The following is a 24927-nucleotide window of genomic DNA, read 5'->3' on the forward strand; positions in this document are numbered from 1 at the left end:
CATATATATTTAACATAGTTAAATACTATATACAGTTATTTGGAAAACTTTTAAATTAGTATGATTATTCAAGAAATGAATTTTTAAGAAGATATGCTCATTGCGGAAAACTCTAAAATACAAATGAACAAAGAAAAGTATAAATTATCTGGTGTATTTACTTTCCATTTTTTTCACATAGTTTGGGTTTTCACAAAATTCGATCATTTTGTAACATTATGAATACATTTTATAACTTAATATATTTTGGTTACATTTTATGTCATTAAGTAGTTGTATTTATTTATTTTTTGAGACAGTCTCACTCTGTTGCCCAGGCTGGAGTGCAGTGGTGTGATCTCAGCTCACTGCAACCTCTGCCTCCCAGATTCAAGTGATTCCCCTGCCTCCTGATAGCTGCGATTACAGGCACATGCCATCATGCCCAGCTAATTTTTTTTTTTTTTTTTTTTTTGAGACAAAGTCTCGCTCTTGTCCCTCAGGCTGGAGTGCAATGGCGCGATCTTGGCTCCCTGCAACCTCCACCTCCCGGGTTCAAGCGATTCTCCTGCCTCAGCCTCCCGAGTAGCTGGGATTAGAGGCGCCTGACACCACGCCCAGCTAATTTTTGTATTTTTAGTAGAGATGGGGTTTCACCATGTTGGCCAGGCTGGTCTACAAACTCCTGACCTCAGGTGATCTGCCCACCTCGGCCTCCCAAAGTGCTGGGATTACAGGCATGAGCCACCACACCCAGCCTATTTTTGTATTTTTGTAGAGACAGGGTTTCACCACGTTGGCCAGGCTGGTCTTGAATTCCTGACCTCAGGTGATCCGCCCGCCTTGGCCTCCCAAAGTGCTGGGATTACAGGCATGAGTCACTGTGCCTGGCCTAAGTAGTTTTATATACATCTTTTATTAACACTGCAGTTATTCAAAATTTGGACCATGACTCAGAGTAAGGAATTTAATATCACAATGTACACATGTACATATACAAAGCTAAATTTCTTATGAAGCAAAACTTGTCCTTACTCTGATATTTTTCATTCTATTTCATTTTATTTTGTCTTTTCAAATGCCAGTGGCAAATCCCTTTACTGTTTTTAAAACTCACTAATGAATCCCATCCTGTTCTATTAGAGGTGATTCCATGATTTAGTCACTCAATCCCATCTTTGGATATATGGATCACCACCAATTTGCCATTATAAATAGTGCTCCTCTGCTGAACATTTTTGTAACTATTTCTTTGTTGGCATCCATGATTTCCCTTAAGAGAAGTTTATAGATGTAGAACTACAAAGTCAAAGAATGTGCAAAATTGTAGGAGGTTTGATATTTATGGCCATATTAGTTCCCCAAAAAGTTGACTAAGTAAACGGTTTATAGTTTGATATTCTAATTTTTTTCAGTGAATGCATTCCAAAAGTTACCAGCTTGAAACAATAAGCATTTATTATATCACTGTTTTAGTAGGGGGGATTCTGGGAGTAGATCAGCTGGGCCCCCCAGCTCAGGGACTGCAGTCAAGGTGTCAGCCAGCACTATAGTCACCTCAAGGTTCAAGAGCAGGAGGTCCACTTCCAGGCTCACTCACAAGGGTGTTGGCAGGTCTCAGGTTCCCAGATGCTGTTGGCTAAAGACATTGGATCCTGCCATGCAGGCCTCTCTGGAGGCTTACTTATCACATGGCACCTTGCTTCCACCACACCAAGGGCACTAAAAGAGAGAGAGAGAGAGAGAGACAAAGAGAGAAAGTTACAGTCTTTGTAACCAAATCCAGGAAGTGACATCCTATGACTTTTGCTTGATTCTATCCATTAGAAGCAAGTCGCTAGGTCCAACTACACTCAAGGAGAGGAAATTATACAAGGCATGAGTACCAGGAGGTATGGATCACTGGGAGCCATTTAGAAGCAACCTACCACAATGGAATATTGTGAACATTTTTTTTTCAAATGTTTAATATTTTTAATAATGAAAACATTTGAAATTTATTCTCTCAGCAATTTTGAAATGTACAGTACTCAATTATTAGTTATATTTGCCATGTACAATAGATCTCAAACAAAAATATCAAACTTCCTCCTGAGGTATTGTATCCTTTCATTATCACCTCCCTGTACCCTCCACCCTCATGTGAGCATTTCTGACATTAGAATAATTCCTCAAAAATAACCCTTTAGGACACAGGGAGGGGAACAACACACACTGGGGCCTGTGGGGTAGGTTGGAGGGAGGGAGAGCATCAGGATAAATAGTTAATGCATGCAGGGCTTAATACCTAGGTGATGGGCTGATAGGTGCAGCAAACCACCATGGCACATGTTTACCTATGCAACAAACCTGCACATCCTGCACATGTACCCCAGAACTTAATAAAATAAAATAAAATAAAATAAAAACAGGATGGGTGCAGTGACTCATGCCTGTAATCCCAGCACTTTGGGAGGCCGAGGTGGGTGGATCACCTGAGGTTGGGAGTTCGAGACTAGCCTGACCAACATGGAGAAACCCCATCTCTACTAAAAATACAAAATTAGCCGGGCATGGTGGCGCATGCCTGTAATCCCAGCTACTCAGGAGGCTGAGGGAGAATTACTTGAAGCTGGGAGGCGGAGGTTGCAGTGAGCTGAGATCGAGCCATTGCATTCCAGCCTGGGCAACAAGAGCAAAACTCTATCTCAAAAAAAAAAAAACAACAACAAAAAACAACCCTTTAAGAGCTGTTAAAAGAAAATCCATAGCCAAATTAGGCCAGGCGCAATGGCTCACGCCTGTAATCCCAGCACTTTGGGAGGCTGAGGTGGGCAGATCACCTGAGGTTAGGAGTTCGAGACCAGCCTGACCAACATGGAGAAACCCCGTTTCTACTAAAAATACAAAATTAGCCAGGTATGGTGGTGCATGCCTGTAATCCCAGTTACTCGGGAGGCTGAGGCAGGAGAATCACTTGAACCCGGGAGATGGAGGTTGTGGTGAGCTGAGATTGCACCATTGCACTCCAGCCTGGGCGACAAGAGCAAATTTCTGTCTCAAAAAAAAAAATCCATAGTCAAATTAAATTTAAGAGTTCAATTTAGCAAAGTACGATTGGTAAATTGGGCAGCATTCTGAGCCAGAGTAGGCTCAGAGATTTATGGGCAGCATAAGGAAAGTGATGTACAGAAAATGGAAATGAGGGACAGAAACAGCCAGATTGGTTACAGCTCAGTGTTTGCCTTATTTGAAGAGGGTTTGAACAGTTGGCCCCTTTTGATTGGCCAAAACTTGGTGTTTGGCACAAGGGTAGATTACAGGCTGTTTACACCTCCATTTAGGTGACAGTTCACTATGTACAGAGAAACCTTTACGTCAAACTCAAAATATGTAAGGAGGCTAAATTTGATTTAACAGAGCTGTAGCAGTATCTGTGAGGGGCTGTCTTTTTAAAATAGAAGTTAAATTGGCTGGGCACAGTGGCTCACACCTGTAATCCTAATACTTTGGGAGGCTGAGGCAGGAGGATGGCTTGAGCCCAGAAGTTAGAGACCAGCCTCAGCAATATGGCAGGACCCCATCTCTACAAAAAATTTACAAAATTAGTCAGGTGTTGTGGCACATACCTGTGGTCTCAACTACTCGGGAGGCTGAGGTGGGAAGATCGCTTGAACCAGGGAGGTGGAGGCTGCAGTGAGCTATGGTTGTGCCACAGCACTCCAGCCTGGCAACAGAGCGAGACCCCGTCTCAAAAAAATCATTTTTTTCTGCATAATGAATTAGTGGGCTTTTACTTAGATTATTAAAACTAAAGTTTATTCTGTATATATTATCTGTTTCAGTTATTATTGACACATAAACCACCCCCAAAATTTAAAAGCTTAAAACAGAAACAGCCATTTATTTGCTCATGATTCTGTAACTTGGGCAGGGCTTGGCAGGGTCAGCTAGTCTTTGCTGAGGTAACTTGACTGGGGCTAAAGATGCAAGATGGCTTCACCCAGCTTCTCAGTTGGGGGCTGGCGTGGCTGGAAGACAGCAGGCCCTTCCCTTTTCCTTTAGAGTCTCTCATCCTCCAGGGCCTCATTTTCTTCAGGTGCTATCTCTCTCATGCAGCACAAACTTCTTTACATCACAGCTGGCTCTAAAAGGGAAAAACAATGCTACAAGATTTCATAAGGCCTGGAAGTCACAGGGCCCCACTTCTGCTAGGTCCAACTGGTCAAAACAAGTTCCAGATGCAAAGAGAAGGAAAGTAAAAGACACCTTCTAGTGGGAGAAGCAGCATGCACACACAGGAATGGGAGGCACTGTCGGTGGCCACATTTGGAGACAATCCACCACTCCTACCTACAGAAACTGCCAGACCACATCCACGACAAGGCAGTCAGTGTTCCTCCTCTAGTAGTGGTGTAAGAACTGAATATTCTCATCAAATCATCCACTCCTTAGAGCAATGATTGGTATTTGTGATGTGGCAAACAGGAATGGAGCCTGTGGCACAGAGCTTTTCCCAAAGTTTGCACTGGGAAAGTGAACTACACAGCCTAAGAAAAGAGTGAGCTACGTGGCCTAAGAAAAGAGCTACATAGCCTTGGCCGGGCACGGTGGCTTATGCCTATAATCCCAATACTCTGGGAGGCCGAGGTGGGTGGATCATTTGAGGTCAGGAGTTTAAGACCAGCCTGGGCAACATGGTGAAACCCCATCTCCACCAAAAAATAAAAAAAATAGCCAGACATGGTGGCAGGTGCCTGCAGTCCTAACTACTTGGGAGGCTGAGGCAAGAGAATCACTTGAACCTGGGAGGCGGAGGTTGCAGTGAGCTGAGATCATGCCACTGCACTCCAGCCTGGGTGACAGAGTGAGACTCCATCTTGAAAAGAAAAGAAAAGAGAAGAGTGAACTCCCCTTGGGCCCACAGTATAGAATTAAAAAACAATATCATTTGCAAATACTTTGCAGGAAGGCAGCTCAAATCAAGGAAAGGGCCTAAGATTGGCAGTCAAGAGACCTGAGGTCTGGAGCTGGCCCTGTGTCTATGAACAAACCAAGGCCAAATCTCTGGGCCTCAGTTTGCTGTATGTAAGGGGAAGAGTTTTTTTATTTTTTATTTTATTTTATTTTATTTTTTGAGCTGGAGTCTCGCACTGTCGCCAGGCTGGAGTGCAGTGGTGCGATCTCGGCTCACTGCAATCTCCGCCTCCCGGATTCAAGCGATTCTCCTGACTCAGCCTCCCGAGTAGCTGGGACTACAGGCGCCTGCCACCATAGCCAGCTAATTTTTGTATTTTTAGTAGAGACGGGGTTTCACCATGTTGACCAAGCTGGTCTCAATCTCTTGACCTCGTGATCCACCCACCTTGGCCTCTCAAAGTGCTGGGATTACAGGCGTGAGCCACCGTGCCTGGCTGGGTTGTTTTTTAAAATTTATTTTTTCAGACACTATGTTGCCCAGGCTGGTCTCGAACTCCTGACCTCAAGCAATCCTCTTGCCTTGGCCTCCCAAAGTGTTGGGACTACAAGCGTAAGCCACGGTGCCCAGCCAGGGGAAGGGTTTTAGCTGACTCTCCTCTGACAGCTCTGACACTCTCTGCCTAAGCAAATACTGAACTTCATGAGTCGGTCCAGGGAACAGTTGGCTCTGTACACTCTGCCAGAGAAGTTCTTGGGGATGACTGAGGGTCTGAACAGGTGAGGGACAGATGAAGGCAGGGCTGGAGGAGGGAACCACATGGCAGTGTGCAGGGTGGCCTGGAGTTCCATCAGGAAGCTGGCACAGAGCCTAGATTAAGGGCAGCAGTGGGAACAGACAAGAGATGGATGTGAGTGATTACCAAGGAAGACTGTCATCAAATATGGTATGTGGAGGTCATCACGGTGTGTCTCTCTCTTCATTATGGAAGCATCCCATGTTCACTGAAGGGATCTTGGAAAATATTTTTAAAACTAGAAAGAAGAAATGTTATCCTACAGTCTCACCATTCAAATACCATCACTTTCCCTACTTTGATGGCATACCTTATAGTCTTTCTTCTCTTCACATGTAGTTTTTCTTATTAGTATGTAAGAAGCAGCATAAGGTAGTATGGAAAGTATGGCTTTTAATGTCAAAAAGACTTCAGATACAATCCTGGCTCTGTCACTTTTTTAAAAGAATCATTTCGACTTTTATTTTGTTTACTTATTTTTGAGACAGGGTCTAGTTCTTTCACCCATGCTGGAGTGCAGTGGCATGATCATAGCTCACTGCCACCTTGACCTCCCTGGCTCAAGCAATCCCCCCACCTCAACCTCCTGAGTAGCTGGTACTACAGGCATGCGCCACTATGCCTGGCTAATTTTTTGTATTTTTTTTTATAGAGACGGGGTCTTGCCATGTTGCCCAGGCTGGTCTTGAACTCCTGGGCTCAAGCAATCCTCCTGCCTCAGCCTCCCATAGTGCTTGGATTACAGACATGAGCCATTGCACCTGGCCTCAACTTTTATTTTAGATTCAGTGGGTACACATGCAGGTTTGTTACATGGGTATAGGGTTTGGGGTACAGATGAGCCTGTCACCCAGGTAGTGAGCATATTACCTAAAAGGTTGTTTTTCAGCCCACGCTCCCCACGCTCCCCTCCCTCCTTCTCTCTTCTGGTAGTCCTCAGTGTCTATTGTTCCATCATTATGTCCATGTGTACTCAATGCTTAGCTCCCATTTATAAGTGAGAATATGTGGTATTTGGTTTTCTGTTCCTGCCTTAATTTGCTTAGGATAATGGCCTCCAGCTGCATTCGTATTGCTGGAAAGGACATGATTTTGTTAATTTTATGGCTGCATAGTATTCCATGGTACGTATGAAGTACATTATCTTTATGCAATCCATCATTGATGGGCATCTAGGTTGATTCCATGTCTTTGCTATTGTGAATAGTGCTGTGATGAACGTACAAGTGCATGTGTCTTTTTGGAAAAACAATATATTTTCCTTTGGGTATATACCCAGTAATAGGATTGCTGAGTTGAATGGTAGTTCTAAGTTTTTGAGAAATCTCCAAGCTGCTTTCCACAGTGGCTGAACTGATTTACATTCCCACCAACAATGTATAAGCGTTCCCTTTTCTCTGCATCCTCACCACCATGTGTTTTTGTTGTTGTTGTTGTTGTCGTTTCAAGTAACATTTATTGAGAACTCTTTGTGTCAAATGCTTTGTCTGCATTAACTCAATTAATCCTCATAAAAAACCTTATGAAGCCCCACTTCCCATTCAAGGAGACTAAGGCAGAGAGATCAAATAACTTGCACAAGGCCACACGAATAGTAAGTGGCAGATGCAAGAGCTAAATCCAGTAGTCTGAGTCTGAAGCTCACAAGTTCAACTTCTCTACAACCTGTCACCACTCTTCGTTCACTACCTGACCTTGATGGAGTCAGTGAACCTTTCTGCAAAGTGGAAGCAATTTTTAGAGTTGTCCTGAGCATTAGCAATCCTATGTCAAGTGCCTGGAGGGAACACAGTGGGCATCTCAACAAATGGTGGGTGCTCACCACTTGAAAGTGAGTTATGGGTTTAAGCAAGTTGAATCTGAGGTGAGGGCAGAACTTCCAGATGAAGTCAGAATTGCAAAGGCCATAAAGCCCAGGGTTTAAGCACTGAAGCCATGGAATTGGCCTGCCTGGGCTCCAATCCCTACTCTGCCGCTTCAATGCTGAATGACCTGACAAGTCAGTTTACCTGTCTGAGCCTGTTTGCTCATTTGTAAAATGGGGCTAAAAATACTACCTCCCTAGGTTTGTTTTGAGTATAGGGTAATATGTGGGCAGTGCTTAGGAACAGAGTTTGGGCATTGTCAGTGCTGAATTCATGTTGGTTTTTATAATGGTGTGTATAATGGATGTAATGATAAATTTATGGTGATGTAATATTACCATAAGGTAATATTTTCCTGTATTAAGATTCTTGAGGTCAGGCACAGTGGCTCACGCCTATAATCCTAGCACTTTGGGAGGCCGAGGTGGGTGGATCACCTGAGGTCAGGAGTTCAAGACCAGCCTGGCCAAAAAGGTGAAACCTCGTTTCTACTAAAAATACAAAAATTAGCTCGGCGTGGTGGTGCCCACCTGTAAGCCCAGCTACTTGGGAGGCTGAGGCAGAATTTCCTGAATCTGGAAGGCAGAGGTTGCAGTGAGCCGAGATCGTGCCATTGCACTCCAGCCTGGGTGACAGAGCAAGACTCCGTCTCAAAAAAAAAAAAAAAAAAATAAATAAATAAATAAATAAAGATTCTTGAATGTGTTAGCCATAAGGGGAAATCAAATCACAACAAAACCCTTTCTTCCCAGTGACTGCACAATCATTTTCTTCATTCCCAGCATACCACCATTGTTGTATATCCACCAGTGTGCCAGGGTCTGTGGATAAACCCTAAACATCCAGAGAAGGGGAGACAGGCCCCAGATTCCCACCCCAACACGCATCATGTGAGCAGCTGGAGGATGTTGCAGTTCAGCAAAATCCAAGGGTTGGCCACAGGATCTGCTAGGCAAAGCTGCTCTGGATGAGAAACTGGGAAGAATGTTCCCATTGGTTTGGGGGTTGTTAAGCCATCAGGAAAAGGTTTGGAATCTGTATTTTAAGAGAGCATGCTATGTGATTCCTTCCTCCAGCCCTGCCTTCATCTGTCTTTCACCTGTTCAGACCCTTGCCGTAGAGAATGGTCTCTTAAGAGTTTTTTACTCAGGAGGAGCAATGAGCTTGGCTTCAAGGAGTCCACTGTTTCGTGAAGGGCATTAACTCAGCTACTTGGTGAACTGGAACCTCCAGGCTTCCAAGGATGACATTTCCCTGGAAGAAAGTAGCCAGCAGCGTCCCCTTTGTGAAAGAGAGGAAGCCTGGGCTCCAGGGAAGGGGGCAACAGTCCAATGAGCCATAGCAGGGAATGGACCGAACTGTACATACAAGATGAGGAGGGGCCTCGAACAACAGGGAAGCCCCGTGGAGCACGCAGGGGAGCCTGGACGCGGGGAATCGCCTCCGTTTCTCACCCTGACAGCAGGGAGGGCTTCCCGGAGCTGACAGTGAGGCAGACATCCCGGATCCCTGTTATCACAGGTGCAGCCACGCAACTTTTGGGTTACCTTCCCGCCACGAAATGGAAATGATTTCCTGAGGGCCGGAAAGATCATTTGCATCGGGCCTCAGGTCTGGGGCTGGGAAAGCAGGCCCCGGCCGGAAAGGAAGACTGGAGGCCGCCGCCCCAGAGGCCGGACCCTCGCGTCCCGGCCGCATCCCCTCCCGGCTGGGTATGCGCTTCGGGCGCGGGGCTCCCTCGCGAGGCTGGACTGGGTGGAGCCCGAGAGCCCCTCCGGGGAGCTGGCTGCCGGGGAGGCACCGGGGCTGCGGGGCCGCGGGGCGGGCCGGGCCTGGAGCTCCGCGCTAGAGGCGGCCGCAGCGCACCGGGCGTGGGCGGGGCCGGCAGCGCAAGGGTGAATGTCGGCCCCGCCCCGACGGCGCTGACTCAGTTTCACCAGAAACCAGGGGGAGAAGGCGGCCGAGCCCCAGCTCTCCGAGCACCGGGTCGGAAGCCGCGACCCGAGCCGCGCAGGAAGCTGGGACCGGAACCTCGGCGGACCCGGCCCCACCCAACTCACCTGCGCAGGTAACCCGGGCCCCCGCGCGCAAGGCCGAGGCGCAGGCGGAGCGGGCTGGAGCATGTCCGGCCCTTTGTTCTGCGCTCGTGCGTGTGTCCGGGTACTTGAGCTCCCTAGCGGTCCGCCTGTCCGTCTGTCTGGCTGCCGGGTCCCTGGAGGGCGCGTGGGAGGGCCGGGCCCGTGCGCCCTCTTCGATCCTGGGGTGCTCCGGTCCCTCCTCCCCGCCACTTCCTCCCGGCCGGCCCGCCTCCTCCAAAGTCTCCCGGGCTGATCAGGTGTGTCTCCTCCTCTGTCCCCTCCCTTCTTCTCAGGTCACCAGCACCCTCGGAACCCAGAGGCCCGCGCTCTGAAGGTGACCCCCCTGGGGAGGAAGGCGATGGCCCCTGCGAGGACGATGGCCCGCGCCCGCCTCGCCCCGGCCGGCATCCCTGCCGTCGCCTTGTGGCTTCTGTGCACGCTCGGCCTCCAGGGCACCCAGGCCGGGCCACCGCCCGCGCCCCCTGGGCTGCCCGCGGGAGCCGACTGCCTGAACAGCTTTACCGCCGGGGTGCCTGGCTTCGTGCTGGACACCAACGCCTCGGTCAGCAACGGAGCTACCTTCCTGGAGTCCCCCACCGTGCGCCGGGGCTGGGACTGCGTGCGCGCCTGCTGCACCACCCAGAACTGCAACTTGGCGCTAGTGGAGCTGCAGCCCGACCGCGGGGAGGACGCCATCGCCGCCTGCTTCCTCATCAACTGCCTCTACGAGCAGAACTTCGTGTGCAAGTTCGCGCCCAGGGAGGGCTTCATCAACTACCTCACGAGGGAAGTGTACCGCTCCTACCGCCAGCTGCGGACCCAGGGCTTTGGAGGTGAGGAGGGTGCCAAGATGGATGGGTTTGGAGAGACTCAAAAAAGGGACTGGTTATGGGGTCCTAGGGGAGACGAACATCAGAGAGGAGTTAAGGAGAGTTCACTTTTTTTTTTCTTTTTCTTTCTTTTTTTTTGCGACGGAGTCTCGCTCTTGTCGCCCAGGCTGGAGTGCAATGGCGCAATCTCTGGTTGCTCACTGCAACCTCCGTCTTCCACGTTCAAGTGATTCTTCTGTCTCAGCCTCCGGAGTAGCTGGAACTACAGGCACCCGCTACCAGACCCGGCTAATTTTTTTTTTTTTTTTTTTTTTTTTTTTTTTGGTACAGACGGGGTTTCACTATGTTGGCCAGGCTGGTCTTGAACTTCTGAACTCAGGTGATCCACCCACCTTGGCCTCCCAAAGTGCTGGGATTATTTCTACCTGAAGCCCTCCTTAGAAGTAGGCAGTACAGCCGAATCAAGCCTGGTGATCAATGGGGTGACAGATGTCACAGCCAGATCGCCTTCACATCGGTAGTAGGCAGTACAAACAGTAAACAAATGAAAGGGGACATGAGTAGGGAGGGCAGGGCCCAGGCTCTGGCTCCTGAACTCAGGATGTTCAGAGGTGATGGGCTGGTGCTCACAGGGAGGCCTTTGGCTCTGGGCTGTGTGTACTGGAGGGGAGAGGAAGTCCCCAGGACTCCTGACCTCTGGCACTGATAGGCTGATTGAAGGAGTGAGCTGTCTGGATGGTCTGGTGACTAGAAAGGCACCTTGGCCAAGCACTGGTCTGGGCACACCGATGCCCTGTCAGGTGAGCCTGGCCATAGTCTCCTCCACTGGCTGGACTTGGGACTGCTTAGCATCTCTCTACCCCCTAGGAATGCATTGGCCTTTTGGTGGTCCAGGAAGACTGCCAGATCCGAGACTAGAAAACAAGCCCAGTCTGCGGTTGATCCAAAGGGAGAGAAGTGATGTTGTAGGCACAGAAGCCTAGAGGCTCTGGGGTGGGGGATGAGGAGGGTTGTGGGGTGAGTCAGCCTGTTGGTATGTATACCTAGTAGGGAAGGGATGTCAGCTGTCCAGGCAGGTGTGTGTGCATGCGCATGAGCCAGACAGGGCTCTCCCTGCTTAGAATCTGGTAGCCAAACCTTGTTTACTTCCATAGATAAAGGCAAAGCGGAGGCCAGGGCTCCTCCTCTTTCTTCCCCGGACTGAACTGTCTGCTGGGATCAGGGCCAGTCCAGAGCCTTGGTTCCCCCTTTCTCTCTACCTGCTGTTCTGGCCAGGTGGGGCTCCAGGGCAGGGGTAGGTCACCTCTCATAACCTCTGTGAGCACTTTACAGCTTACTGATTGCTGTGCCACACATCCTCTCACTCAGGCCTCATCACAACAACTTCCAAAAAGGGTGCTACTAGCAGTCATCCCACTTTTTAGATTAGGAAACTAAGACTCCCATGTTAAAGAATTTGCCCAGGGTAACACTGCCCATAAATGGTAGGCCTGAGATTCACCCCAGGGGAGACCTCCAAAAAAAGTCCTGTGCTGTTTTTCACACAAGACCATCTCTCTGGTAAAAACCTAGCATTCTGACCCAAAATAGCCCAGTGGATAACAGAACCGGGGATTGGGGAGTTTGGGGGCCAGAACTGGGCTGGGGCCACATCTGGGGGTGGTCTCCGTTCTGGAAAGTGGAGAAAGGGCTTTCCTCCGCAGACTTTTCCTGGGCTAGTCTCTCTGCCAGGCTAAGGAGGGTCCTCTTTCCTCCCTATCCTTCCAGTAGCTCTCCTGGGTCTCTGAGGAGAGGCGAGATGGGGATTCCTGTGGATGGGAGGGGGACATATCTGAGGGCCAGTCTGGGCCACCAAGTCCCACTGAACCAGGGCTGCAGCCTGTTCCACAAGGAAGTAGCAGAAAGTGTAGGTGGTGATGACTCTTACTGACCTGAGTTGCTCATGCCCTTCCTGCTCCACAGAGGCCCCATGGGAGTCCCTCTCCAGAGCCAGAGTGTGAAATTCTGGAGTCTGGTCAGGGAGCTTAGCTGGACTATGGCCCCATGGTCTTGAGACCAGCCATCCTCATCTGGAAACCCCCAGGACCTGCCTGTTTGCCACAAGAGAGGGTGGAGTGGGGATTTCCTGGGACATTGAGGGAGGCAGGTAGGGCTTGGACTTAGTATGAGCTCCAGGCCATTCTAGGCCATTCTTAGAGTGCTGCAGTGCTTTGGGAAGAGGAAAAAGCTGTGTGTGTGTCAAGGGGTTTATTCTCACCTGGGTCCAGTTAGAGAGGTTGGAGGTGGGTAATGACAGGGTAGAGCCATTAAGGGCTAGGGTGGATGAGGTGGGTTGGGTGACGTGGGTCACGGGCACTGAGAGCTTCCAAACCTTTGATTCTCCTATTGCATAGATAAATGCTCCCCAGAATGGGTTTGTTTGTTCCTCCTTCTGCCTGTGGCCAGGCCAGGCCAGTACAGATTCCTGCAGCTGGAGGCGGAGCAGCTTGCACTTCCTCTTCTCCCCTTCTCTTCCCCCACCTCTCCTCCTCCCCAGTCCTATGAAGGAGTGGCTTAGGAGGCGGAGTCTGCACTTCCCTGAGGTCCTGAGACCTGGTAACTAACTGGGGGAGGGGCTGGTTTTATTGCCACTCTAGCCCTTTGCTCTCTTGCGGGTGGGAGGAAGGGAGTGGTAAGGCAAGGTACCTGCTCCTTGGTCCTGGGGGCTGGGGCTTGGAGAGGACTGAGTTGTGTTGGGGTGGGATTCAGCCCCTGATTCAGCTCAAAGTCTGATGCATCACTCTGCATGCTACTTCCACTCTGGGGGCCTGGTGGGGCTAGCCTGTCTGTCTGCTAGGCAGACTGCTAAGTAGTCTGTCTTCTTTCTACAAAATGCAAGGAGGGAGGACTGCGCTCCTCCCAGCTCGCTACTCCCTTGGCAGGTGTTCTCAGGGTACTCTCCTGTTTGTCAGCCAAGCCCCTGGGCTGGGAGGTTGCCTCCAGACAGCCACTTTTCGTTCCTGCTCATCCCTGTCTTATTTTCCCTAATCCCTGGAACCCAGTTCTCTTTTTACTATTTTTGTAGGCCTCTGAAACATTCAACATGTTTCTTCCTGAAATCTCTCCCTTCCCATCCCTTTTGCTGTCATTGTGCATCCTGGTCTTCTCAGCCCCAGAACCACCTTCTGTGAGTCCCCCATTGGCTCTGCTTTCTCTACTTCATCAAAGAGGAATCCCTGAGACTCGGCCTCCTACCAGCTGTTCTTAGCTCTTTACCTTCTCTTCTTTCTTTGCATTCACTCTAACACTTGAAAAAACTCTCTAGAGAGCCTCTGTGGAGGGTAGTTGGGCAATATCTATCAAACCTAAATGCACACAGCCCTGGACACAATTCCACTTGTAGGAATTCATCTTGCAGCTGTACCTACACACGGATAAAACAACTTACCAGCCAGTTAGTCCCCGTAGTATTGTTTATAATAACGAAGAATTGGAAACAATCGCATTGTCTGTCAACACATCCTATAATTGAATACTGTGATGCTGTTTTCATAATAATAATAAACCCTAAGGTAGCATGGTTTAGTTCTTAGGAGAGAAAGAAAGAAAATCTAAATCAGGAAACTGGTAGGGACTGTTTAAATAAATTATAAATTGTGGTGCATTTATACAATGAATATGATACAACAACAACAACAAAAGGAAACTCTTTATGTGTCACTATGGAATGATTTCCAATATATATAAAGGGCAAAACAAGATGAAGAACTCAAATGCTTGTGAATTCAAATACTGTCTCTTGATATTCTCTCTCTCTCTCTGTCTCATACATACCTTTGGGGTAATAAACCTGATGGAGAAGGTTCCTTCTTAAGGAGAAGAGGTGACTTAATTTTGACTAGGCTTTTGTACCTTTTGGTTTTGGTTTTTCTGTTTTTTTTTTTTTTGAAATGGGGTCGGGCCGGGCGCGGTGGGTCACGCCTGTAATCCCAGAACTTTGGGAGGCCGGGGCGGGCGGATCACGAGGTCGGGAGATTGAGACCATCCTGGCTAACACGGTGAAACCCCGTCTCTACTAAAAATACAAAAAATTAGCCGGGTGTGGTGGTGGGCACCTGTAGTCCCAGCTACTTGGGAGGCTGAGGCAGGAGAATGGTGTGAACCCAGGAGGCGGAGCTTGCAGTGAGCCAAGATCACGCCACTGCCCTCCAGTCTGGGCAACAGAGCAACACTCCGTCTCAGGAAAAAAAAAAAAGAGAGAAATGGGGTCTCACTCTGTCACCCAGGCTGGAGTTCAGTGGTGTAACCACAGCTCGCTGCAGCCTCAACCTCACAGGCTCAAGCGATCCTCCCAACCTCATCTTCATGAATAGCTAAGTAGCCATCACACCATCACACCTAGCTAATTTTTTATTTTGTAAATACGAGGTCTCACTATGTTGCCCAGGCTAGTCTCAAACTCCTTGGCTCAAGCCATCCTTCTGCCTCAGCTTCCCAAAGTGTTGGGATTACAGGTATGAGCCACCACACCCAGCCACCTTTTGAATTTTATGTCATATATGTATTACCTAAACTAGAAAAGCAAAATTTAAAAACCCAACATTATAAAAGCAATTAAAATCACAACCTCTGAGGGGGTGGATAACCTATAGAATTACGTTTTGGAGAGAGCATTTGCTGTGGAGTCTGACAGACCTTGGTTCAAATCCCAGCTCTGCCTTTAGAAACTGAATGACTCTGAGCAAGCCATTTAATCTTTCTGGTGTCAACTTTCTCATCTGAAAAGAGGGTGAGAATGTAGGTGTAGCAGGCTGGTTTTGAAGGTACATCATGGACTCCAGGGGTCAATAAACTTTTTCTGTAAAGATCTAAATAGAAATTATTAGGCTTTGTGGGCCATAGGGTCCCACTTGCGACTGCTCAGCTCTGCTGTTGTTACATGAAAGCAGCCATACTCAACATGTAAATGTGTGGGCAAGGCTGTGTTCCAATCGATGGACACAAATTTGAATTTCATGTGCTTTTCACATGTCATTACAAAGGATTCTCCTTTTGTTTTTTCTTTTTCTTTTCTTTCTTTTTTTGAGACGGAGTTTCGCTCTTGTTGTCCAGGCTGGAGTGCAATGGCGCGATCTCCGGCTCACCACAACTCCGCCTCCTGAGTTCAAGCAATTCTCCTGCCTCAGCCTCCCGAGCAGCTGGGATTACAGGCATGTGCCACCACACCCGGCTAATTTTGTATTTTTAGTAGAGATGGAGTTTCTCCATGTTGGTCAGGGTGGTCTTGAACTCCCAACCTCAGGTGATCCACCCGCCCCGCTTCCCAAAGTGCTGGGATTACAGGCGTGAGCCACCGCACCCGGCTGTTGTTTTTTCATCCATTCCAAAATATAAGATATGGTGGGCTGGATTTGGCCTGCAGGCTTAGCTGATGCTAAGCTATAGCTGATGCAGGTAGAGTACCTAGCATGCTGCCCAGCATACACTCAGCCAGTGCCTCTATTTCCAACCCTTGCCTGTCTGTCATTGTCTGCTGGTTCGGGTGGCCTGCCTTCTCCCAAATTTAACTTCTCTTATGACTTAACCTATATGTTCCCTCTAAATCCGGTTTCCCTTCTGCCTGTACCCTGGCTTTTCCTTCCCAGTTCCCAGAGACTGGCAGGGGAGAAGCCAGAAGCATCAGCCCAGCGTTGTTTCTCACATCTTTATCTCCATTCCCTTGGCTGCTCTGGCATTTGGGCCACTCCTGTTGCATCTGCCCTGGACCGCTGCACTGGTATACTTGCCAGCCTCCTCGCTCCACAGAATGCTTCCAAACAGATGGGAAAATAGCTGCTGCTCAGAGCTCAGGAGTGCTCCTGCTGCCCAAGCCCTGGGCCCCTCCCTTTGAACTCCTGGACCTCTGTCATGTATCTAGGAGGTCAATGTCTGGTGCAGCTGGCCTCCAGGACTCTACGCCACTGCTCACGGCCAGTGTCTGTCCCCTTTCTGTACTACCAGTTGTTTAATATTTGAATGTTACTCCTGCTGTGTCCAAACACCCTGGCCTGGCCTCCAGGACGCTTTAAGATCAACTCAAGCCCAGCGAACTGGCCTTGCAAATTCCTAACTCCTTGCTTTGGTTTCTCATGTGTTCTGCCATTTTCTTTTTTCTTTTTTTTTTTTTTTAAACGGAGTCTTGCTCTGTTGCCAGGCTGGAGTGCAGTGGCACGATCTCGGCTCACTGCACCCTCCGCCTCCCAGGTTCAAGCGATTCTCCTGCCTCAGCCTCCTGAGTAGCTGGGATTACAGACATGTGCCACCATGCCCAGCTAATTTTTTGTATTTTAGTAGAGAGGGGGTTTCACTGTGTTAGCCAGGATGGTCTCAATCTCCTGATCTTGTGTCTGCCCGCCTTGGCCGCCCAAAGTGCTGGGATTATAGGCGTGAGCCACCGCGCCCAGCTGTGTTCTGCCATTTTCAACAACACCCTACATTCTCCCAACAACCAAACAAGAACAAAAACAAAAAAATCAAAAAATCCTTTCTCCCTCCTCCAGAAAGCCTTGCCTTATCCCCCTAGCCTGCCATGGCCTCCTTTCTCTGAATGTCCACTGCCTTGTTTAGTCCACGTGTTGCTTCATGTCGTGGGGTCTTATCTGCCCAACTGGACTAATCCTCTGAAGGGCAACGTATTAATTTCCTAGAGCTGCTGTAACAGATGGCTATGAACTGGTTGGCTTAAAACAAATTTGGCCAGGTGTGGTGGCTCATGCCTGTAATCCCAGCACTTTGGGAGGTTGAAGCAGAAGGATCACTTGAGGTCAGGAGTTCAAGACCAGCCAGGCCCATGTGGTGAAACCCCATCTCTACTAAAAATACAAAAATTAGCCGGGCATGGTTGTGCACACCTGTAATCCCAGCTACTCGGGAGGCTGAGGCAGGAGAATCGCTTGAACCCTGGAGGCGGAGGTTGCAGTGAGCCAAAATTGTGCCACTGCACTCCAGCCTGGATGAAAGAGTGAGACTCCATCTCAAAAACAAAACAAAACAAAACAAAAAAATTATTCTTGCAGAGTTCTGGAGGCCAGAAGCCCCACATCAAGGTGTCAGCAGGGCTGTGCTCCCTCCAAAGACCCTAGGAGAGAATCCTTCCTTGTCTTTTCCAGCTTCTGGTGGCCCCAGGCGTACCTTGGCTGTGGCTGCATCACTCTAGTCTCTGCCTCTGTCTTCGCGTGGCCTTCTCTTCCTTCACTCTGTCTTCTCCTCTTCTGTTTCTTATAAAGATACTTTGTCGTTGGATTTGGGGCCTAACCAGCTAATCCAGGATGATCGCATCTGGAGATCCTAATTACTTCTGCAAAGACCCTTTTCCCAAATCAGGTCACGTTTATGGGTTCCAGGGGTTAGATGTGAACATATCTTTGAGGGGCCACCATTCAGCCCCCTACAGGCAGCGATCCTGCACTGTGCTTGTCACCCACCCCCATGCCTGACCCTGAGGTGGGGAAGCCTCAGACACAGGCACTGTCAAGTCAAGGAAGGGCGTGGCTCCCGGGACCCCTTGTAACTGGAGGCCGAGTCTGTCTGAGGTATTTCTATTGTAGAAAATAGAAATAAGCCTATCCCCTCAAGTAAGTGTCTGTGTGTGTGTGTGTGTGTGTGTGTGTGTGTGTGTTTACTCAATAAGATCAGATGGCAGTTTGTTCAGTAATTTGCTTCAGAAAGAGGGTTTTACAGCTGGGTGTGGTAATTGTACCTTTAGTCCCAGCTACTCACGAGGCCGAGGCAGGAGGATTGCTTGAGTTTGAGGCTGTACTGGCCATGATAGAGTCTGTGAATAGTCACTGTGCTCCAGCCTAGGAAACATAGCAAGACCCCATCTCTAATAAAAAAAAAAAAAAGGAAAGAAAGTGGGTTACAACATAAAAATATCTTCAGTATACCAAAAACATGCTCTCTCTGAATAGAGATCAAGAAGCTGGTTCTGTTGGGGGCTCCCACCCGCACCCCATGCAGGCTGTGGAGTCCCAGTTTGGTCTAGGTGGGGCCCATACTTTCACCACCCCACTTTGCTCCTGAGAGAAGCCTGGTCCATCTAGTGAGAATTGACCTTATCTCACTTTCTCTCCCCGCCAGGGTCTGGGATCCCCAAGGCCTGGGCAGGCATAGACTTGAAGGTACAACCCCAGGAACCCCTGGTGCTGAAGGATGTGGAAAACACAGATTGGCGCCTACTGCGGGGTGACACGGATGTCAGGGTAGAGGTGAGACACTGGGCTGACTCTGACCCCGCCCTCTGCCTGCCAGCCTTCTTGGAGCCCCTTTCTGGGGCCCTAGGCCAACCAATGGCCCCGGATGGGATGGGGTGGAGAGAGGCTGAAGATGCATTTAATCCAACTCCCCCTGGCCTCCCCAGGGGTGTGGGTGTGTGTCTGGCCAGGCCTGGGGCAGCCCAAGGGCATCAGGGGGTGCCCAAGCCTGATAGCCACTCCTGTGTGCAGAGGAAAGACCCAAACCAGGTGGAACTGTGGGGACTCAAGGAAGGCACCTACCTGTTCCAGCTGACAGTGACTAGCTCAGACCACCCAGAGGACACGGCCAACGTCACAGTCACTGTGCTGTCCACCAAGCAGACAGAAGGTGAGGGAGGGGTGAGGAGCAGCACCTGGAGCCCCCGCTGTGCGGATTGGCCGCACGGTCCCCTCATAAGCTCTCCCCCCTAGACTACTGCCTCGCATCCAACAAGGTGGGTCGCTGCCGGGGCTCTTTCCCACGCTGGTACTATGACCCCACGGAGCAGATCTGCAAGAGTTTCGTTTATGGAGGCTGCTTGGGCAACAAGAACAACTACCTTCGGGAAGAAGAGTGCATTCTAGCCTGTCGGGGTGTGCAAGGTGGGCCTTTGAGAGGCAGCTCTGGGGCTCAGGCGACTTTCCCCCAGGGTGAGTGGTCTCTCTCTTCTGTGGCCAGGGAGGTGGGTGGTGGGAGCTCTCCCTTGCCCACCCACCCCAATTATCTCATCCCCACTGGAGCCTGGTCATGCCTCCTCTCATTCTCTGTTCTCTCTCCCAGGCCCCTCCATGGAAAGGCGCCATCCAGGTGGGCTTTACTCCCCTCCCCATCCCCCATCCCCACCACATCTCTAGCCCATATCATCCCTATGCCCCTAAGCAGCCTGCCTTTGACCAAGCCATTCCTCCCCTCAGAGTTTGTGGAAGGACCACAAACATCCCACCCCTTCCAGCCCAGCATCGTCCTATGAGGATCTGCCCAGTTTGCGTGGGGCAGGAGTGGGGTTGGTGGAAAGGGAATGGGGGATGTGCTGTGTCTGGGCAGAGAGGGCCAAGTAGAAGGTGGGCCCTGGGCACTTGTTCTTTGCTTGAGCCTGACCTCCCTTCCACCCGTCCAGTGTGCTCTGGCACCTGTCAGCCCACCCAGTTCCGCTGCAGCAATGGCTGCTGCATCGACAGTTTCCTGGAGTGTGACGACACCCCCAACTGCCCCGACGCCTCCGACGAGGCTGCCTGTGAAAAATGTGAGGCCTGGGGGATAGAGGGGGTTGGGCAGCAGACAGGGAGGTCCTGACAGCCTTGCCCTGAACCCCTGGGAGACCCTTGTTGGGTCTGAGACTCTGACCTTTCCTCTCTGCAGACACGAGTGGCTTTGACGAGCTCCAGCGCATCCATTTCCCCAGTGACAAAGGTGAGATCCTCCCCAGGTGCCCTGGATCAGGGCAGACGCTGACACTGCCATCCTCACTATTTCCATCCAGCAGTGCCTGAGGGGCCTGCTGGGTGTACGGGCCTGTGGGCACAAAGAGCCAGGGTGGGCTCCCCGTTCTCCAGATGGCTCAGCTTCTTCCCTGGCTGGCTCTTGGGCTTTCTTCTGTGGCTCTGTGTTTTCCAGGCATCACTCATTCTCCGAACACCTTCATAACTTCAGCCATGTCCACCACATATTGCTCAGATCTTATTTACTTAATCAGTTACTTTTTAAATGTAATATATTAAAAAGGAACTTTCACATCACTACCATAAATGGGAAGCCACTATTACTTGCCAAACATTGAAAAACAACACAAATAAATATAATAAAACAGTAAGTTTTAGCTTGCCAGGCGTGGTGGCTCACACTTATAATCCCAGCGCTTTGAGAGGCCGAGGCTGGCAGATTGCTTGAGCTCAGGAGTTCAAGACCAGCGTGGGCAATATGGCAAAACCCCATCTCTACAAAAAATACAAAAATTAGCCGGATGTGGTTGCGCGTTCCTGTACTCCCAGCTACTCAGAAGGCTGAGGTAGGAGGATCACTTGAACCTGGGAGGTAGAGACTGCAGTCAGTTGAGATGGAACCACTGCACCTCAGCCTGGGCAACAGAGTGAGACCCTGTCTCAAAACAATAATAATAATAATAAGCTCTAGCTAGTTGCTTGCCTGCCAAGGCTCAGACCCTGAGGCCCATCCTCTTTTTTAAGAAAGGTAAACCAGCCAGGCGTGGTGGCTTACACCTGGAATCCCAGCTACTAGGGAGGCTGAGGTGGGAGGATCGCTTGGCCTAGGAATTTGAGGCCAACCTGGGCAACATAGCGAGACACTGTCTTTAAAAAAAAGAGGTAAACCACCCAGTGTTGGAAAACTGAGACCGTGACCCAGTCAGAAAAGCTGAAAGAAAATTGAAATAACTATGAGTCGGCGTAGTTTACTTTTGTGCCTACAGTTATTGTCCAGGGTTTGTCTTCCCTTTTCTGGCACCACTGCAGCTGGGCCAGGTGTTTTGGGGCCTCTCAGGCCCTCCCTGAGCCATGGCAGGTGGGGAGGTGCTGGGCAGCAGCCACGTGGAGCCTAGCAGAAGGTGGCAGGGAGGCCATGGACTCGCTCACCATAGCCTACCCCATACCCCCCAGGGCACTGCGTGGACCTGCCAGACACAGGACTCTGCAAGGAGAGCATCCCGCGCTGGTACTACAACCCCTTCAGCGAACACTGCGCCCGCTTTACCTATGGTGGTTGTTACGGCAACAAGAACAACTTTGAGGAAGAGCAGCAGTGCCTCGAGTCTTGTCGCGGCATCTCCAGTGAGTGGGCCAGTGAGAGGGTGGGCATGTATGGGGGAAGGCTTAGCCAGTGGCCTCCACTCTGTCCCCAGGCCTTTGGGAGTCACCCCTCCATCCTCAGAGCGCCTGGAGTAGGAGTGGGAGAGGATGCCAGTGTGAGGTCTGGGGCACTGGGGAGCAGCTGAGTCTCTGAGCCCTCAGTACTGACTGGTCTTTCCCCTCATCATTCTGCAGAGAAGGATGTGTTTGGCCTGAGGCGGGAAATCCCCATTCCCAGCACAGGTAAGCCCTGATCTGTCCTGTAACTGAGGTTAGCATGTAGGTATCAACTCACGGATCAACTCCACCTGTTGTGACAGCCTAACCTGTGTTGAGAAGGATGCCAAGGTGGCCTATAGAGACAGAGTACCGTAATCAAATGGGGATGCCTGCCACACACGAGGGAGGGAGTACAGTAAAGTGCGTGCCGATGTCTGTCAGCAGCGTCCCAGGCTTCCCCCAAGTTAACTGCAAGGAGAGCGACTTGAGCTGAGACCTGAGGCCCACCAGAGTTCCTCTGAGCTCCTGGACAGAGCTGTTCAGCTGTTCATATGTGGGAGGTCTGAGTCGGGTGCCCATGTCCTTCCATACCTGGCATCCATTTGACTTGGTCTCTTCCATAGATTGGGGGTGGGTGTCAGAACCAGGCAGGCCCTGGGAGCCCCTTATTCTACCCCTTCTTCCCCCAGGCTCTGTGGAGATGGCTGTCGCAGTGTTCCTGGTCATCTGCATTGTGGTGGTGGTAGCCATCTTGGGTTACTGCTTCTTCAAGAACCAGAGAAAGGACTTCCACGGACACCACCACCACCCACCACCCACCCCTGCCAGCTCCACTGTCTCCACTACCGAGGACACGGAGCACCTGGTCTATAACCACACCACGCGGCCCCTCTGAGCCTGGGTCTCACCGGCTCTCACCTGGCCCTGCTTCCTGCTTGCCAAGGCAGAGGCCTGGGCTGGGAAAAACTTTGGAACCAGACTCTTGCCTGTTTCCCAGGCCCACTGTGCCTCAGAGACCAGGGCTCCAGCCCCTCTTGGAGAAGTCTCAGCTAAGCTCACGTCCTGAGAAAGCTCAAAGGTTTGGAAGGAGCAGAAAACCCTTGGGCCAGAAGTACCAGACTAGATGGACCTGCCTGCATAGGAGTTTGGAGGAAGTTGGAGTTTTGTTTCCTCTGTTCAAAGCTGCCTGTCCCTACCCCATGGTGCTAGGAAGAGGAGTGGGGTGGTGTCAGACCCTGGAGGCCCCAACCCTGTCCTCCCGAGCTCCTCTTCCATGCTGTGCGCCCAGGGCTGGGAGGAAGGACTTCCCTGTGTAGTTTGTGCTGTAAAGAGTTGCTTTTTGTTTATTTAATGCTGTGGCATGGGTGAAGAGGAGGGGAAGAGGCCTGTTTGGCCTCTCTATCCTCTCTTCCTCTTCCCCCAAGATTGAGCTCTCTGCCCTTGATCAGCCCCACCCTGGCCTAGACCAGCAGACAGAGCCAGGAGAAGCTCAGCTGCATTCCGCAGCCCCCACCCCCAAGGTTCTCCAACATCACAGCCCAGCCCGCCCACTGGGTAATAAAAGTGGTTTGTGGAGTTTCTGGCTCTGTTCTGTGGGCCAGGAGAGGGACTAGGTTGCTGGGGGGTGATGGGACCGTCCTGTTCAGCTGGTTCAGGCTTCAGCCACCCTGTTGAGCAGGTTTTCCCATCGTCTCTCTCGAAACTGGCCTGGCCCCTGACTTTGGAGAGCAGTGCCATGTTTGACCACCAGAGGGGAGGAGTGAGCGGGCCACGGGAGCCACGAGTGTGGGGAGGCTGCAGTGCTGCTGTGTAGCATTTCTTCCTGGTGTGAGCCTCTCCACAAGCCTGTTGAGTGGTTGAGCTCTCCACAATTCTGCTCATTTGGAGGTTGGGGTTAGGGGTGCACAGGCACCTTGGCTCCTACCTCCATGTTAGGGCCCAGGTGACTAGCTGTCTCCCTCCCAACAGAAGCCCTGGCTTCTGCGCTGGAGTGCAGCACCCCCAACCAGGCTCTGAGCTCCTTCCCAGGAGCCTTTAGTAGAGACACGCCACTCCAACCCACACCCCTGCATTTGTTCAAGCTACCTCCCGGTGCCAAAAAAAAAAAAAAATCATACTTTGAGCTCATTCGTTCGTTTATTCAGTGAATTACATTGAGCTCCTCTGTGCCAGACACTGCCAATCATTAGAAATTTGATACTGCTGAGAGGGGCAGAGGAAGCACTATTTAAATGCTTTACGTATCTCGAGTTGCTGGCGCTGCACACAGCCCTTGTGATGACAATACAATCATCCGCATTTTACAGGTGAAGAAACTAATTCATTGAAATTTCCTCCCCAAGGCCCTAGAGCTGAGATTGGACTGGATCCCCAGAGTTTAGTCTTACAAAAGAGGTATCGGGGTTGGTGGGGGTGGGGGGGGACTTAAAAGCAAATTTTAAGCAAGTACAACTACCATGAATGTACATATATGAAGTTATAAGTGTATAGCTCAGTGAATTTCCATAATGACACACACCTCTGAGGCAGGCACCCAGATCAAGAAGCAGAACCTTCTTAGCACGCCGGGACAGGCCTCGTTTTGATGGATAACACCTGGTTTTGGACTCGTGCTCTCATGGACCACCTCCCCATTTTGCACGCCTCAGCCTAAGCTCAAAACCCTCCCACACAACTGCAGGTGGTGGACACTCCCTGCCTCACACCCCTGTGTCTGCTAACACCACCCTGAGCCCAGAGCACCTCTTATTTCCTTTACTGCCTGTCTTCTTGCCGGATTGTGAGATCCCAGAGCCGCAGATGGCATCCAGTTGTGTCTGGGTTCCCGGCACCCCATGCTCCCTCTGTGACCTTGGTAAATCGTAGTTTAGTAAATGTTGAGTAAGCGGCAGGGGGTGGGGCTCATCCCCATTGTTCCACTTCATAGGGCACCGTGTTTTCCCTTCTAACCCCCTACTCTGACACTCGTCCATCCTTCGAGGCTCAAAACGGACTTGATCCCTACTGGGAACAACCCCCATTATCAGTTGGTTCTCAGACTCTACCCTAGTGTCCAGAACAGTGATCAACACAGAGCAAGTATTTAATAAGGGTTTGTTGGCCTGAAGTGAACATCCTCTCAGGGAGGGATAGACATCAAGTGAGAGGATGCCAGGCAAAGGGCCACCCCTAGTAACAGCTGCTTGCATGTGCAGAGGGAGTGCCCGAGGAGGTGGGAGCTCTCGGGGGTCACTAGGGGGCGCTGTGACTATGACTGGATGCCGTGTTCTTCCTGCAAGGATGTGAGGACTCAGTCTCAGGCAGGTGACAGGAGTGGAGCAATGAACGCCAAGACACAGCTCCTGCTCTCCTGGCGCTTACACTCTGGCGTGCAGGCTGCAGGGATGCAGATACGGTGACAAAACAGTCTGGTCCCCAAACTTCTCCTT

At 50.5% G+C, this 24927-nt stretch overlaps 1 protein-coding gene and 1 long non-coding RNA gene across 12 annotated transcripts, besides 7 other annotated features; one reads left to right on the forward strand and one right to left on the reverse strand.

The window, feature by feature from the left end:
• Window positions 1–1411: 1411 nt before the first annotated feature.
• Window positions 1412–9943, reverse strand: SPINT1-AS1 (SPINT1 antisense RNA 1). Of its 3 annotated transcripts, NR_146466.1 has the most exons (3): window positions 9598–9943; window positions 3962–4105; window positions 1412–1701 (listed from the first exon to the last, which is right to left on the reverse strand). It is a non-coding gene; the product is annotated as an SPINT1 antisense RNA 1 (long non-coding RNA). The 3 variants fall into 3 exon arrangements; NR_146468.1 differs by lacking the exon at window positions 3962–4105; NR_146467.1 differs by lacking the exon at window positions 1412–1701 and having other exon boundaries at window positions 3834–4105.
• Window positions 8905–9087: a silencer, noted in NCBI's record as "fragment chr15:41135684-41135866 (GRCh37/hg19 assembly coordinates)". NCBI's record gives its function as "represses an EF-1alpha promoter that drives an FKBP-Casp9 reporter gene in an ReSE screen in phorbol 12-myristate 13-acetate-treated (for megakaryocytic differentiation) K562 erythroleukemia cells {active_cell/tissue: K562(+PMA)}" and the evidence as "EXISTENCE:reporter gene assay evidence [ECO:0000049][PMID:32094911]".
• Window positions 9040–9611: an enhancer, noted in NCBI's record as "NANOG-H3K27ac-H3K4me1 hESC enhancer chr15:41135819-41136390 (GRCh37/hg19 assembly coordinates)". NCBI's record gives its function as "activates a minimal SCP1, AML or CMV promoter by ChIP-STARR-seq in primed H9 embryonic stem cells {active_cell/tissue: H9 hESC(primed)}" and the evidence as "EXISTENCE:reporter gene assay evidence [ECO:0000049][PMID:30033119]".
• Window positions 9040–9618: a biological region, named in NCBI's record as "NANOG-H3K27ac-H3K4me1 hESC enhancer GRCh37_chr15:41135819-41136390".
• Window positions 9249–9478: a silencer, noted in NCBI's record as "silent region_6342". NCBI's record gives its function as "represses an Ori minimal core promoter by ATAC-STARR-seq in GM12878 lymphoblastoid cells {active_cell/tissue: GM12878}" and the evidence as "EXISTENCE:reporter gene assay evidence [ECO:0000049][PMID:35858748]".
• On the forward strand, window positions 9467–23626 carry SPINT1 (serine peptidase inhibitor, Kunitz type 1). 9 transcript variants are annotated; one of them, NM_001386873.1, is made up of 11 exons: window positions 9467–9697; window positions 9909–10448; window positions 18543–18670; window positions 18908–19046; window positions 19130–19348; window positions 19479–19505; window positions 19816–19941; window positions 20058–20108; window positions 21311–21481; window positions 21695–21742; window positions 22189–23626. In NM_001386873.1, the coding sequence occupies exons 2-11, from the start codon at window positions 9974–9976 to the stop codon at window positions 22392–22394; spliced, it is 1590 nt and encodes a 529-aa protein (NP_001373802.1). In that variant the 5' UTR covers window positions 9467–9697; window positions 9909–9973; the 3' UTR covers window positions 22395–23626. The 9 variants fall into 9 exon arrangements, with proteins under 9 accessions (NP_001373802.1, XP_047288924.1, NP_857593.1 ...); XM_047432968.1 differs by having other exon boundaries at window positions 19130–19300; NM_181642.3 differs by having other exon boundaries at window positions 9467–9605.
• Window positions 9559–9618: a silencer, noted in NCBI's record as "silent region_6343". NCBI's record gives its function as "represses an Ori minimal core promoter by ATAC-STARR-seq in GM12878 lymphoblastoid cells {active_cell/tissue: GM12878}" and the evidence as "EXISTENCE:reporter gene assay evidence [ECO:0000049][PMID:35858748]".
• Window positions 9909–10148: a silencer, noted in NCBI's record as "silent region_6344". NCBI's record gives its function as "represses an Ori minimal core promoter by ATAC-STARR-seq in GM12878 lymphoblastoid cells {active_cell/tissue: GM12878}" and the evidence as "EXISTENCE:reporter gene assay evidence [ECO:0000049][PMID:35858748]".
• Window positions 23501–23550: an enhancer, noted in NCBI's record as "active region_9267". NCBI's record gives its function as "activates an Ori minimal core promoter by ATAC-STARR-seq in GM12878 lymphoblastoid cells {active_cell/tissue: GM12878}" and the evidence as "EXISTENCE:reporter gene assay evidence [ECO:0000049][PMID:35858748]".

Source organism: Homo sapiens, chromosome 15, assembly GCF_000001405.40.
Source record: "Homo sapiens chromosome 15, GRCh38.p14 Primary Assembly".
Taxonomy (NCBI): Eukaryota; Metazoa; Chordata; class Mammalia; order Primates; family Hominidae; genus Homo; species Homo sapiens.